The sequence below is a fragment of the Homo sapiens genome, chromosome 22 (genome assembly GCF_000001405.40).
Source record: "Homo sapiens chromosome 22, GRCh38.p14 Primary Assembly".
Lineage (NCBI taxonomy): Eukaryota > Metazoa > Chordata > Mammalia > Primates > Hominidae > Homo > Homo sapiens.
The window spans coordinates 28,521,958-28,534,664 of NC_000022.11; the positions used below are offsets into that span (position 1 = coordinate 28,521,958).

Genomic DNA, 12,707 nt, shown 5'->3' on the forward strand with positions numbered 1-12,707 from the left:
ATGATCCACCCAACACTCTGCCTAGTAGAAGGAAAAAAGTGGACTTCTCTAGAAGATAACACTGTCTGTAACTCCAGAGCTTTTATACACAATGTCTATATTTCTGTAAGATATGCCAAGAAAGAGAATAATATGACAGACAACTATGAGCAAAAAACAAACAAGAGAATCACAGGTAACTAAAAAAGTAGAGTTAGTAAATAAGAACTTTCATAGTACCATGATTAATACGTTTAAGAAAACGGAGAGGCTGGGTGCGGTGGCTCACGCCTGTAATCCCAACACTTTGGGAGGCCGAGATAGGTGGATTACCAGAGTCAGGAGTTTGAGACCAGCCTGGCCAACATGATGAAACCCTGTCTCTACTAAAAATACGAAAAATTAGCTGGGCGTGGTGGCAAGCACCTGTAATCCCAGCTACTCAGGAGGCTGAGGCAGGAGAATCTCTTGGACCCAGGAGGTGGAGGTTGCAGTGAGCCAAGATCGTGCCATTGCACTCCAGCCTGGGCAACAAGTGCGAAACTCCGTCTCAAAAAAAAAAAAAAAACTGAGACACAGAAAATACTGAGAGAAAGACTGAAAATTGCAGTAGAGGATTAAAATTGTAAATAATAGAACTGAAAAACAACTACTGAAATTTGAACTCAATAGATGGGTTTAACAACAGATTAGTGATGAACTAAAAAGCAGGTCAATGGACAATAATGAACTGAAGCACAGCAAGAATAAAATACTAAAAAAGGTATGAAGTACCAATACACACTACCATATGGACAAACCTGAAAAACAATCTAAGTAAAAAAAACCAGGTACAAAAGCCCAGATATTGTATGATTATATTTATGTAAAAAGTCCAGAATAGGCAAATCCACAGAGACAGAAAGTAGATTAGTGGTTGTCAGAGGCTGGAAGGTAAAGGCAGGGGAGAGGGAGAATGGAGAGTGATCGTTAATGGGTAAAGGGTTTCTTTTTGGAATGATAAAAATCTTCTGGAATTAGATAGTGGTGATGCATGCAAAACTCCATGAATACATAAAAAAATCACTGAAGTATGTACTTTATAAGGGTAGACGTTATGGTATGTGAATTATATCTGAACAAAGCTGTTATTGAAAAAAAGTAAAACAAAACCCAATATGTGACTTGCAAGAGATATACTTTAAATATAAAGACACAGAGAGATCAAAAGTGAAAAAATAGCAAAAGATGTAACATGTAAACACAAACCAAAAGAAAGCTGGCACAGCTACATCAGTATCAAACTTTAACAAAAGCAGCATTACTAGGCAGACATTCATAGTCAGAGCAATAATTTAATAGAAATAATTAAGAATAGTAATAATAGTCACAGTGATAATAGTATTTCAGAATAATTCTATAAGTTAACTCAGCAAAAGGATATCACAATTCTAAATCTATATACATCCATATGATAAATTAAGTTATTAAACAAATGGGGGTAGGGCTGGACCAAGATCTCCCATACTCACTCTGGGCAGTCATGGGGATCCACTACTGAGGCCTTAACTAGTCAGAGCTCTAGTCTGCTCTCTCAGGCTTTCAAAGGGATGTCAAGGGAGGTGGAGACGAGGAAAAAACCAGTATCTGAGAGCGTTCCATGTGCTTGGCCCTTTTTATATATTGTCTCAACAAGCCTCAAAATAGCCCAGTGAGAGAGATGCATCATCATTTCAATTTTATAAACAAGGACACAGACTCTCAGAAAGATTAAGTTATTTTTTCATGCACACACAGTTAGCAAAGAACACAGTAGAGCCTGACTCCAGAATCTAAATAGCTTAAGATCTTTAAAAGTCAGGTCCTAAAGAAATCCCATAGAAAACAGGTATGTTTTAATGTTAATAATAATAGCAGTGGCAATAATAATACGTTTTATAAAATGCTTAATAAATGCCAAGCACAGTACTAAGAGCTTCACATTAATAATCTCATATTTTTCTTCCTTTTCCTCCTTTCAATCCCTTTTCCTCCTTTCAATCCCTTTTCCTCCTTTCTCCCTTTTTTCTTCCGCCCCCTTAAAACTTACATGAAGGCAAAGTAGTACTTAGTAGGAAACCCTGGAGGAGGAAGACTGTGAAAAGGCAAATTCTGAGTAACTCACGATTTTACCAAAATTTACTTCTATTAAAAACTATTTTTAATAGTCTGTTTGAATTTTTTAAAAGTCATTTTTTGAAGGGTGATGAGTGAACATAAGTAGGTAATTACGCTCAAAAAATTAACGATCCCAGCACTTTGGGAGGCCAAGACGGGCAGATCACCAGGTCAGGAGATCGAGACCATCCCGGCTAACACGGTGAAACCCTGTCTCTACCAAAAATACAAAAACAAATTGGCCGGGCATGGTGGCGGGCGCCTGTAGTCCCAGCTACTCGGGAGGCTGAGACAGGAGAATGGCGTGAACCCAGGAGGCGGAGCTTGCAGTGAGCCGAGATCGCGCCACTGCACTCCAGCCTGGGCGACAGAGCCAGAAGCCAGCTCAAAAAAAAAAAAAAAAAAATATTCAACGGTATCCAGACAGGCACAATGGCTCATGCCTGTAATCCCAGCACTTTGGGAGGCTAAGGTGGGAGAATCACTTGAGCTCAGGAGTTCAAGACAATCCTTGGCGAAATGGTGAAAACCTGTCTCTACCAAAAATACAAAAAAAGTATTTAAAAAAATTAATGGTATCAAACAAATATATGCAAAATGTCACCCTCACAACAAATCAAAGAAATACAAATTGACAAAGAAACCATTATTTACCTCATAAAAATAGGAAGTTTTTAAAATTATAAATTCCAGCATTGTCAAATGCACAGTAAAACAGGCACTCTCATATGTTGGTGATGAAAATATAAATTCATGTATATACTTTTGGAGGGCAATTTGGAATTACATATCATTGACCACAAAAATCATACTATTCTTTAACCATGTAATTCTAATTCTAGGTAAGAAATAATCACAGGCAAAGATTCATGCAATAATGAATTATTCAAAATCATATTTTGTTAATTTCAATAACCATAAAATGTGTTCAAGACTTATTATTGATAGAAAAAAAGTTCATTGGGCTTACTGCTGGGGTTATATGAATTGTGATTTTTCTTCATACTTAGTATATCTTTAAAATGATCTATAACTAAAATGTGCCATTATTAAAAATTTCTTTTAATCCAAAGTTTGGGGGTTTTATTGTGTGTGTGAAACGGGTCTCACTCTGTCACCGAGGCTGGAGTGCAGCGGTGCAATCATGGCTCACTGTATGTACCTCGACCTCCCAGGTTCAACTAATCCTCCCACCTCAGCCTCTCGAGTAGCTAGGACCACAGGTGCACATTACCACATCTGGCTAACTTTTATATTATTTTATGGAGACAGGTTTTCACCATGTCGCCCAGGCTAGTCTCAAACACCTGAGCTCAAATGGATCCCTCTGCCTCCGCTTCTCAAAGTGCTGGGATTACAGGTGTGAGCCACCTCATCCAGCCTCCTAAGTTTTGTTTTCATTAGTTATTCCCTAGTACAAATCTTTCAGGCAGAAACAATCAGGTCTTTTTAAACTAGATGACTGAAATTAAGATCACTCTAGGGAAAGGTGAAAATTTTTAAACTTAAGAGAACTTCATTTTTTCTTTTATAAATAAGTTTGTTTAAATAGCCTGGTTATCTATACTCCATGAGGCTTCCTAAAAATAGGACATAAGTACTACAAAATGGAGTCTGTGCAGGTGCCACAAATATAATAAAATTCATTCTTGTATTCTGAAAATTAAACCCTATGGGAACATGAAAAAAGTCTGAAAACTAACAAAATTCGTATTTAAGAATCAACTGACCTATTAAAAACCTAAAAGCACTGTTATTTAGTAACTCCATAAGTAACAGGACTTAAAACAATTTGTATGGCTTTTTAGATGGAAATAAATCCATTTTAACAAACAAACACTATAGTATCTACTATTTTCCAAGTATCATATGAATTCATCACAAAAATGAGATGGCACACCATTTCTGCACTTAAAGAACTAGAATTCTAGAATTCTAATGAACAAGTCAAAACAATTATAGTAATGCTATCAACAAAGTTGTGCTTAGTACCATGTCTGTAAGTACGGGACGGGGCTGTGGAGTGGGAAACATTTGCAATCAAATACTAGCTCTGCTGTATGTCTTAATAAAATAAGAACCTCTTCAAACTTCAATATTCTCATCTATAAAACTACTAACAATAATAAGTATCTAGTCTTAAAGCTGAAATAAGACAAACTATCTCATTTGATGTATAAATGTTCAATATTTCTTAGATATAATTATTCTAACAACATCTTTCACAGCTTTAAATTTTTTTCGATAATAAAATGCAGTTTCCACTTCCCATAATGGTACAGTAGCTTACAAAGACCTTCCCAAGGATAAACATTACAAATTCTGAACAAAGTATTAAAAAATAACTATTTGAAGGCAAAGAATAACCAAAATCAGACAGAAAACAGAAGTGTCAAATCTTGAAAGAAGAGAAATGCAGTGGGCAAGAATAGCATGTATACAGCTATTTGAGAACACACCCAGTCCATACAGTGTAGGACAGCTAGAACCTAAGTAGAACGCCCACAGTCTTACAGGCCTGAGGAGTTAGAGCATGAAGGGTCTGTTCCAAACCCACCCTTCAATATCTGCTCTGAAATCCTCTATACAATGAATATGATATTGAGCTTTCTTCATAGAGGATGCTGAAGGATCACTACAGGAGAGAGGAAGAAGCTAATCTGTTTTTTTGTTTGTTTGTTTTTTTATTTTAATTTTTTTTTGAGATGGAGTCTTGCTCTGTTGCCCAGGTTGGAGTGCAATGGTACCACCTCGGCTCACTGCAACCTCCGCCTCCCAGGTACAAGTGATTCTCCTGCCTCAGCCTCCCAAGTAGTTGGGATTACAAGCACTTGCCACCATGCCTGGCTAATTTTTGTATTTTTTAGTAGAGATAGGGTTTCACCATGTTGGTCAGACTGTTCTTGAGCTCCTGACCTCAGGTGATCCACCCGCCTCAGCCTCCGAAACTGCTGAGATTACAGGCATGAGCCACTGCACCCAGCCTATTCTAGGTTTTCTACCTGTTGCACAGGGAATCAGTAGTGTAAATATGAGGACACCAGTGGCACTCTGCCCCAGCCAAGTGCTGAGAACATATAGTCTATCAGCAAATTCACAACTGCAGCTCAGCCTGATGATCACCTCCCTATGGCCCACTCAACACAGATACTGCACATTTCAGGATTCCTGCCCACACTGGTGCCCCAACTCCCTCTACTCACTCCCTCTCCCAAAAGTTTGTCTCCTTCAAACTTCCTGATGCCACAGCCATACCGAAATGAACACCACATACTCCAGGCTTCCTGCATGCATTAATGCCGCCTCTTCCTCTGCACTCCCATGTCAGTCATGAGTTGAAGTTTGCCTGTGCCCAAGAGAGTTGCTTCAAGCTTGCCTAGTTACTGCAAACCAGTTCTGGCCTATGCAAACCAGAAACTTCTCTGCCATCAAATGGGCTACAACTACATCTTCTCCAACAAGGTTTCAGACATTGGGGAAGGGGCACTCTTTCCTGGGTACTCTCCCTAAGCTTTAGGGTGCCCTAGAGAGTTCTCTTAAATGTTACAGATACACTTATATAATATACTAAATATTTTTTTGAGACAGGGTTTTGCTATGTTGCCCAGGCTGGAGTGCAGTGGCACAAACACAGCTCACTGCAGCCTTGACCTCCTGGGATCAAGTGATCCTCCCACCTCAACCTCTTGAGTAGCTGGGACTACAGGCACATGCCACCACATCCAGGTAAATTTATTTTTTGTAGAGATGGGGTCTCACCATGTTGCCCAGGCTGGTCTTGAACTCCTAGCCTCAAGTGATCCTCCCACCTTGACCTCCCAAGGTTTACAGGCATGAGCCGCCACCACCATGACATAGCAGGAGGCATCATACAGCAAGACAGAACAAGTGTGCATGTAAGCTCAGGTCTCTTTTCCTCTTCTCATAAAGCAAACAGCCCCATCATGGGAGGCCCCACCTTGATAACCTTATCTAATCCTAATTACAACATATGAATTTAGGATTGTATTTCCAACAAATGAAATTTGGGGGGCACATTCAAACCACAGCAATGGGGTAGAATGAAAAGCACAGGAAATGAGACATTTTTGAGTAAATATTTTTAAAATGATTATCTTTTCTTCAGTTTCATAAAGGACATATGAATGCTTAAGCCAAAAAATTAAAACACTCTTATGGAGTTTATAATTATGATGTAATATATATGACAGTAATACCACAAAGGATAAGGGGTGGTAAATGAAACAATACTGTTGCAAAGTTCTTATCTTTTACTTGAAGTGGTTCCATATTACTTCTCAGTAGATCGTTAAGGATGCATATAGTAATCCCTTGAATAGCTTTTGCAAAGAAGTCAGCTTAAAAACCCAGTGTAGGCCAGGCACAGTGGCTCATGGCTATAATCCCAGAACTTTGGGAGGCCAAGATGGGTGAACCACTTGAGGTTAGGAGCTCTGGACCAGCCTGGACATGATAAAACCCCATCTCTAATAAAACTACAAAAAAAAAAAAAATTACCCGGGAATGGTGGCATGCACTTGTAGTCCGAGCTACTCGGGAGGCCAAGGCACGAGAACTGCTTGAACCCAGGAAGCGGAGGTTACAGTGAACTGAGATCACACCACTGCATTCCTGATTGGGCAACAGAGCAAGACCCTGTCTCATAAAAAAAAAAAAAAAAAAAGGAAAAGAAAAGAATGAAAACTGAGACAGATGAAGTAAAATTATATTTGCAAATAATAAGATTGAATTCCTGGAAAACACAAAGAAATTAACTGGAAGACTGTTTTTAAAGGCAGTAAAATTAATATGAAAAACAAATGGACTTCAGACATACAAACAACAACTATTTAGAAGACATAAAAGAATGGGGAGGTTCCAAGATTACCAAATAGGAACAACTCCAGTCTACAGCCCCCAGTGTGAGTGACACAGATGGGTGATTTCTGCATTTCCAACTGAGGTACCAGGTTCATCTCACTGGGGCTTGTCAGACAGTGGGTGCAGCCCACAGAGTGTGAGCCGAAGCAGGGCAGGGCATCGCCTCACCCGGGAAGCGCAAGGGGTTGGAGAATTCCCTTTCCTAGCCAAGGGAAGCCATGACAGACCGTACCTGGAAAATCGGGACACTCCCACCCTAATACTGTGCTTTTCCAATGGTCTTAGCAAATGGCACACCAGATTATATCCCATGCATGACTCAGATGGTCCCACGCCCACGGAGCCTCGCTCACTGCTAGCACAGCAGTCTGAGATCGAACTGCAAGGCAGCAGCGAGGCTGGGGGACGGGCGCCCACCATTGCTGAGGCTTGGGTAGGTAAACAAAGTGGCCTGGAAGCTCAAACTGGGTGGAGTCCACCACAGCTCAAAGAGGCCTGCTTGCCTCTGTAGACTCCACCTTTGAGGGCAGGGCATAGCTGAACAAAAGGCAGCAGAAACTTCTGCAGACTTAAACGTCCCTGTCTGACAGCTTTGAAGAGTGTAGTGGTTCTCCCAGCATGGAGTTTGAGATCTGAGAACAGACAGACTGCCTCAAGTGGGTTCCTAACCCCTGAGTAGCCTAACTGGGAGACACCTCCCAGTAGGGGCCAACTGACACCTCATACAGCCAGGTGCCCCTACGAGACGAAGCTTCCAGAGGAAGGATCAGGCAGCAACATTTGCCATTCTGCAATATTTGCTGTTCTGCAGCCTCTCCTGGTGACACTCAGGCAAACAGGGTCTGGAGTGGACTCCAGCAAACTCCAGCAGACCTTCAGCTGAGGGTCCTGACTGTTAGAAGGAAAACTAACACACAGAAAGGACATCCACACCAAAACCCCATCTGCACATCACCATCATCAAAGACTAAAGGTAGATAAAACCACAAAAATGGGGAAAAACCAGAGCAGAAAAGCTTCAAATTCTAAAAATAAGAGCACCTCTTCTCCTCCAAAGGAACGAAGCTCCTCGCCAGCAACGGAACAAAGCTGAACAGAGAATGACTTCGACGGTTGAGAGAAGAAGGCTTCAGATGATCGGTAGTAACAAACTTCTCCGAGCTAAAGGAGGATGTTCGAAACCACTGCAAAGAAGCTAAAAACCTTGAAAAAAGATTGGATGAATGGCTAACTAGAATAAACAGCGTAGAGAAGATGTTAAATGACCTGATGGAGCTGAAAACCATGGCATGAGAACTACGTGACACATGCACAAGCTTCAGCAGCCGATTCGATCAAGTGGAAGAAAGGGTATCAGTGATTGAAGATCAAATGAATGAAATGAAGCGAGAAGACAAGTTTAGAGAAAAAAGAGTGAAAAGAAATGAACAGAGCCTCCAAGAAATATGGGACTATGTGAAAAGACCAAATCTACGTCTGATTGGTGTACTTGAAAGTCATGGGGAGAATGGAACCAAGTTGGAAAACACTCTCAGGATATTATCCAGGAGAACTTCCCCAACCTAGCAAGGCAGGCCAACATTCAAATTCAGGAAATACAGAGAACGCCACAAAGATACTCCTCCAGAAGAGCAACTCTAAGACACGTAATTGTCAGATTCACCAAAGTTGAAATGAAGGAAAAAATATTAAGGGCAGCCAGAGAGAAAGGTCGGGTTGCCCACAAAGGGAAGCCCATCAGACTAACAGCAGATGTCTCGGCAGAAACTCTACAAGCCAGAAGAGAGTGGGGGCCAATATTCAACATTCTTAAAGAAAAGAATTTTCAACCAAGAATTTCATACCCAGCCAAACTAAGCTTCATAAGTGAAGGAGAAATAAAATCCTTTACAGACAAGCAAATGCTGAGAGATTTTGTCACCACCAGGCCTGCCTTACAAAGCTCCTGGAGGAAGCACTAAACATGGAAAGGAACAACCGGTACCAGCCACTGCAAAAACATGCCAAACTGTAAAGACCATTGATGCTAGGAAGAAACTGCATCAACTAATGAGCAAAATAACCAGCTGACATCATAATGACAGGATCAAATTCACACATAACAATATTAACCTTAAATGTAAATGGACTAAATGCTCCAATTAAAAGACACAGACTGGCAAACTGGATGAAGAGTCAAGACCCATCAGTGTGCTATATTCAGGAGACCCAGCTCACCTGCAGAGACACACATAGGCTCAAAATAAAGGAATGGAGGAAGATCTACCAAGCAAATGGAAAACAACAAAAAGCAGGAGTTGCAATCCTAGCCTCTGATAAAACAGACTTTAAATAAACAAAGATCAAAAGACACAAAGAAGGCCATTACATAATGGTAAAGGGATCAATTCAACAAGAAGAGCTAACTATCCTAAATATATATGCACTCAATACAGGAGTACCCAAATTCATAAAGCAAGTCCTTAGAGACCTACAAAGAGACTTAGACTCCCACACAATAATAATGGGAGATTTTAACACCCCACTGTCAACATTAAACAGATCAATGAGACAGAAAGTTAAAAAGGACATCCAGGAATTGAACTCAGCTCAGCACCAAGCGGATCTAATAGACATCTACAGAACTCTCCACCCCAAATCAACAGAATATACATTCTTCTCAGCACCACATCACACTTATTCCAAAATTGACCACATAGTTGGAAGTAAAGCACTCCCCAGCAAATGTAAAAGAACAGAAATTATAACAAATTGTCTCTCAGACCACAGTGCAATCAAACTAGAACTCAGGATTAAGAAACTCACTCGAAACCACTCAACTACATGGAAACTGAACAACCTGCTCCTGAATGACTACTGGGTACATAACGAAATGAAGGCAGAAGTAAAGATGTTCTTTGAAACCAATGAGAACAAAGACACAACATGCCAGAATCTCTGGGACACATTTAAAGCAGTGTGTAGAGGGAAATTTATAGCACTAAATGCCCACAAGAGAAAGCAGGAAAGATCTAAAATTGACACCCTAACATCACAATTAAAAGAACTTGAGAAGCAAGAGCAAACACGTGCAAAAGCTAGCAGAAGGCAAGAAATAACTAAGATCAGAGCAGAACTGAAGGAGACAGAGACACAAAAAACCCTTCAAAAAATCAAATGGAGGAGGTGGTTTTCTGAAAAGATCAACAAAATTGATAGACCACTAGCAAGACTAATAGAGAAGAAAAGAGAGAAGAATCAAATAGACACAATAAAAAATGATAAAGGGGATACCACCACCGATCCCACGGAAATACAAACTACCATCAGAGAATATTATAAACACCTCTATGCAAATAAACTAAAAAGTCTAGAAGAAATAGATAAATTCCTGGACACATACACCCTCCCAAGACTAAACCAGGAAGAAGGTGAATCCCTGAATACACCAATAACATGCTCTGAAATTGAGGCAATAATTAATAGCTTACCAACCAAAAAAAGTCCAGGACCAGACAGATTCACAGCCGAATTCTACCAGTGGTACAAAGAGGAGCTGGTACCATTCCTTCTGAAACTATTCCAATCAAAAGAAAAAGAGGCAATCCTCCCTAACTCATTTTATGAGGCCAGCATCACCCTGATACCAAAGCCTGGCAGAGACACAACAAAAAAAGAGAATTTTAGACCATTATCCGTGATGAACATCGATGCAAAAATCCTCAATAAAATATTGGCAAACCAAATCCAGCAGCATATCAAAAGGCTTATCCATCACAATCAAGTTGGCTTCATCCCTGGGATGCAAGGCTGGTTCAACATACACAAATCAATAAATGTAATCCAGCATATAAACAGAATCAAAGACAAAAGCCACATGATTATCTCAATAGATGCAGTAAAGGTCTTTGACAAAATTCAAGAGTGCTTCATGCTAAAAACTCTCAATAAACTAGGTATTGATGGGACGTATCTCAAAATCATAAGAGCTATTTATGACAACCCACAGCCAATGTCATACTGAATGGGCAAAAACTGGAAGCATTCCTTTTGAAAACTGGCACAAGACAGGGATGCCCTCTCTCACAACTCCTATTCGACATAGTGTTGGAAGTTCTGGCCAGGGCAATCAGGCAGGAGAAAGAAATAAAGGGTATTCGATTAGGAAAAGAAGAAGTCAAATTGTCCCTGTTTGTAGATGACATGGTTGTATATCTAGAAAACCCCATCATCTCAGCCCAAAATCTCCTTAAGCCGATAAGCAGCTTCAGCAAAGTCTCAGGATAAAAAAATCAATGTGCAAAAATCACAAGCATTCCTATACACCAATAACAGACAAACAGAGAGCCAAATCATGAGCGAACTCCCATTCACAATTGCTTCAAAGAGAATAAAATACCTAGGAATCCAGCTTACAAGGGATGTGAAGGGCCTCTTCAAGGAGAACTACAAATGACCACTCAATGAAATAAAAGAGGACACAAACAAATGGAAGAACATTCCATGCTCATGGATACGAAGAATCAATATCATGAAAATAGCCATACTGCTCAAGGTAATTTATAGATTCAATGCCATCCCCATCAAGCTACCAATGACTTTCTTCACAGAATTGGAAAAAAACTTCTTTAAAGCTCATATGGAACCAAAACAGAGCCTGCATTGCCAAGACAATCCTAAGCCAAAAGAATAAAGCTGGAGGCATCAAGCTACCTGACTTCAAACTATACTACAAGGCTACAGTAACCAAAACAGCATGGTGCTGGTACCAAAACAGAGATATAGATCAATGGAACAAAACAGAGCCCTCTGAAATAATACCACACATCTACAACCATCTGATCTTTGACAAACCTGACAAAAACAAGAAATGGGGAAAGGATTCCCTATTTAATAAATGGTGCTGGGAAAACGGACTAGCCATATGTAGAAAGCTGAAACTGGATCCCCTCCTTACCCCTTGTACAAAAATTAATTCAAGATGGATTAAAGACTTAAATGTTAGACCTAAAACCATAAAAACCCTAGAAGAAAACCTAGGCAATACCATTCAGGACATAGGTATGGGCAAGGACTTCATGACTAAAACACCAAAAGCAATGGCAACAAAAGCCAAAATTGACAAATGGGATCTAACTAAAGTAAAGAGCTTCTGCACAGCAAAAGAAAGTACCATCAGAGTAAACAGGCAACCTACAGAATGGGAGAAAATTTTTGCAATCTATCCATCTGACACAGGGCTAATATCCAGAATCTACAAAGAACTTAAAACAAATTTACAAGAAAAACATCAAACAACCCCATCAAAAAGTGGGTGAAGGATATGAACAGACACTTCTCAAAAGAAGACATTTATGCAGCCAAAAGACACATGAAAAAATGCTTATCATCACTGGCCATCAGAGAAATGCAAATAAAAACCACAATGAGATACCATCTCACACCAGTTAGAATGGCGATCATTAAAAAGTCAGGAAACAACAGGTGCTGGACAGGATGTGGAGAAATAGGAACACTTTTACACTGTTGGTGGGACTGTAAACTAGTTCAACCATTGTGGAAGACAGTGTGGCGATTCCTCAAGGATTTAGAACTAGAAATACGATTTGAACCAGCCATCCCATTACTGAGTATATACCCAAAGGATTATAAATCATGCTGCTATAATGACACATGCACACGTATGTTTACTGTGGCACTATTCACAATAGCAAAGACTTGGAACCAACCCA

General features: G+C 40.0%; 1 protein-coding gene and 1 long non-coding RNA gene across 11 annotated transcripts in view; both read right to left on the reverse strand.

Moving 5' to 3' along the window:
- TTC28 (tetratricopeptide repeat domain 28) overlaps nt 1–12,707 on the reverse strand; it is a 701,827-nt gene that overhangs the window by 543,944 nt on the left and 145,176 nt on the right. The gene's annotated exons all lie outside the window — the stretch shown is intronic.
- Nucleotides 1–12,707, reverse strand: part of LOC101929594 (uncharacterized) — a 51,240-nt gene that overhangs the window by 8,360 nt on the left and 30,173 nt on the right. The window contains exon 1 of one of the 2 annotated variants that reach the window (XR_007068043.1): nt 6,634–6,670. The exons of the other annotated variant lie outside the window; for it this stretch is intronic. This is a non-coding gene — a long non-coding RNA (uncharacterized LOC101929594). Of the gene's footprint in view, nt 1–6,633; nt 6,671–12,707 lie in introns of those variants that run through there. 2 annotated transcript variants of the gene reach the window in all.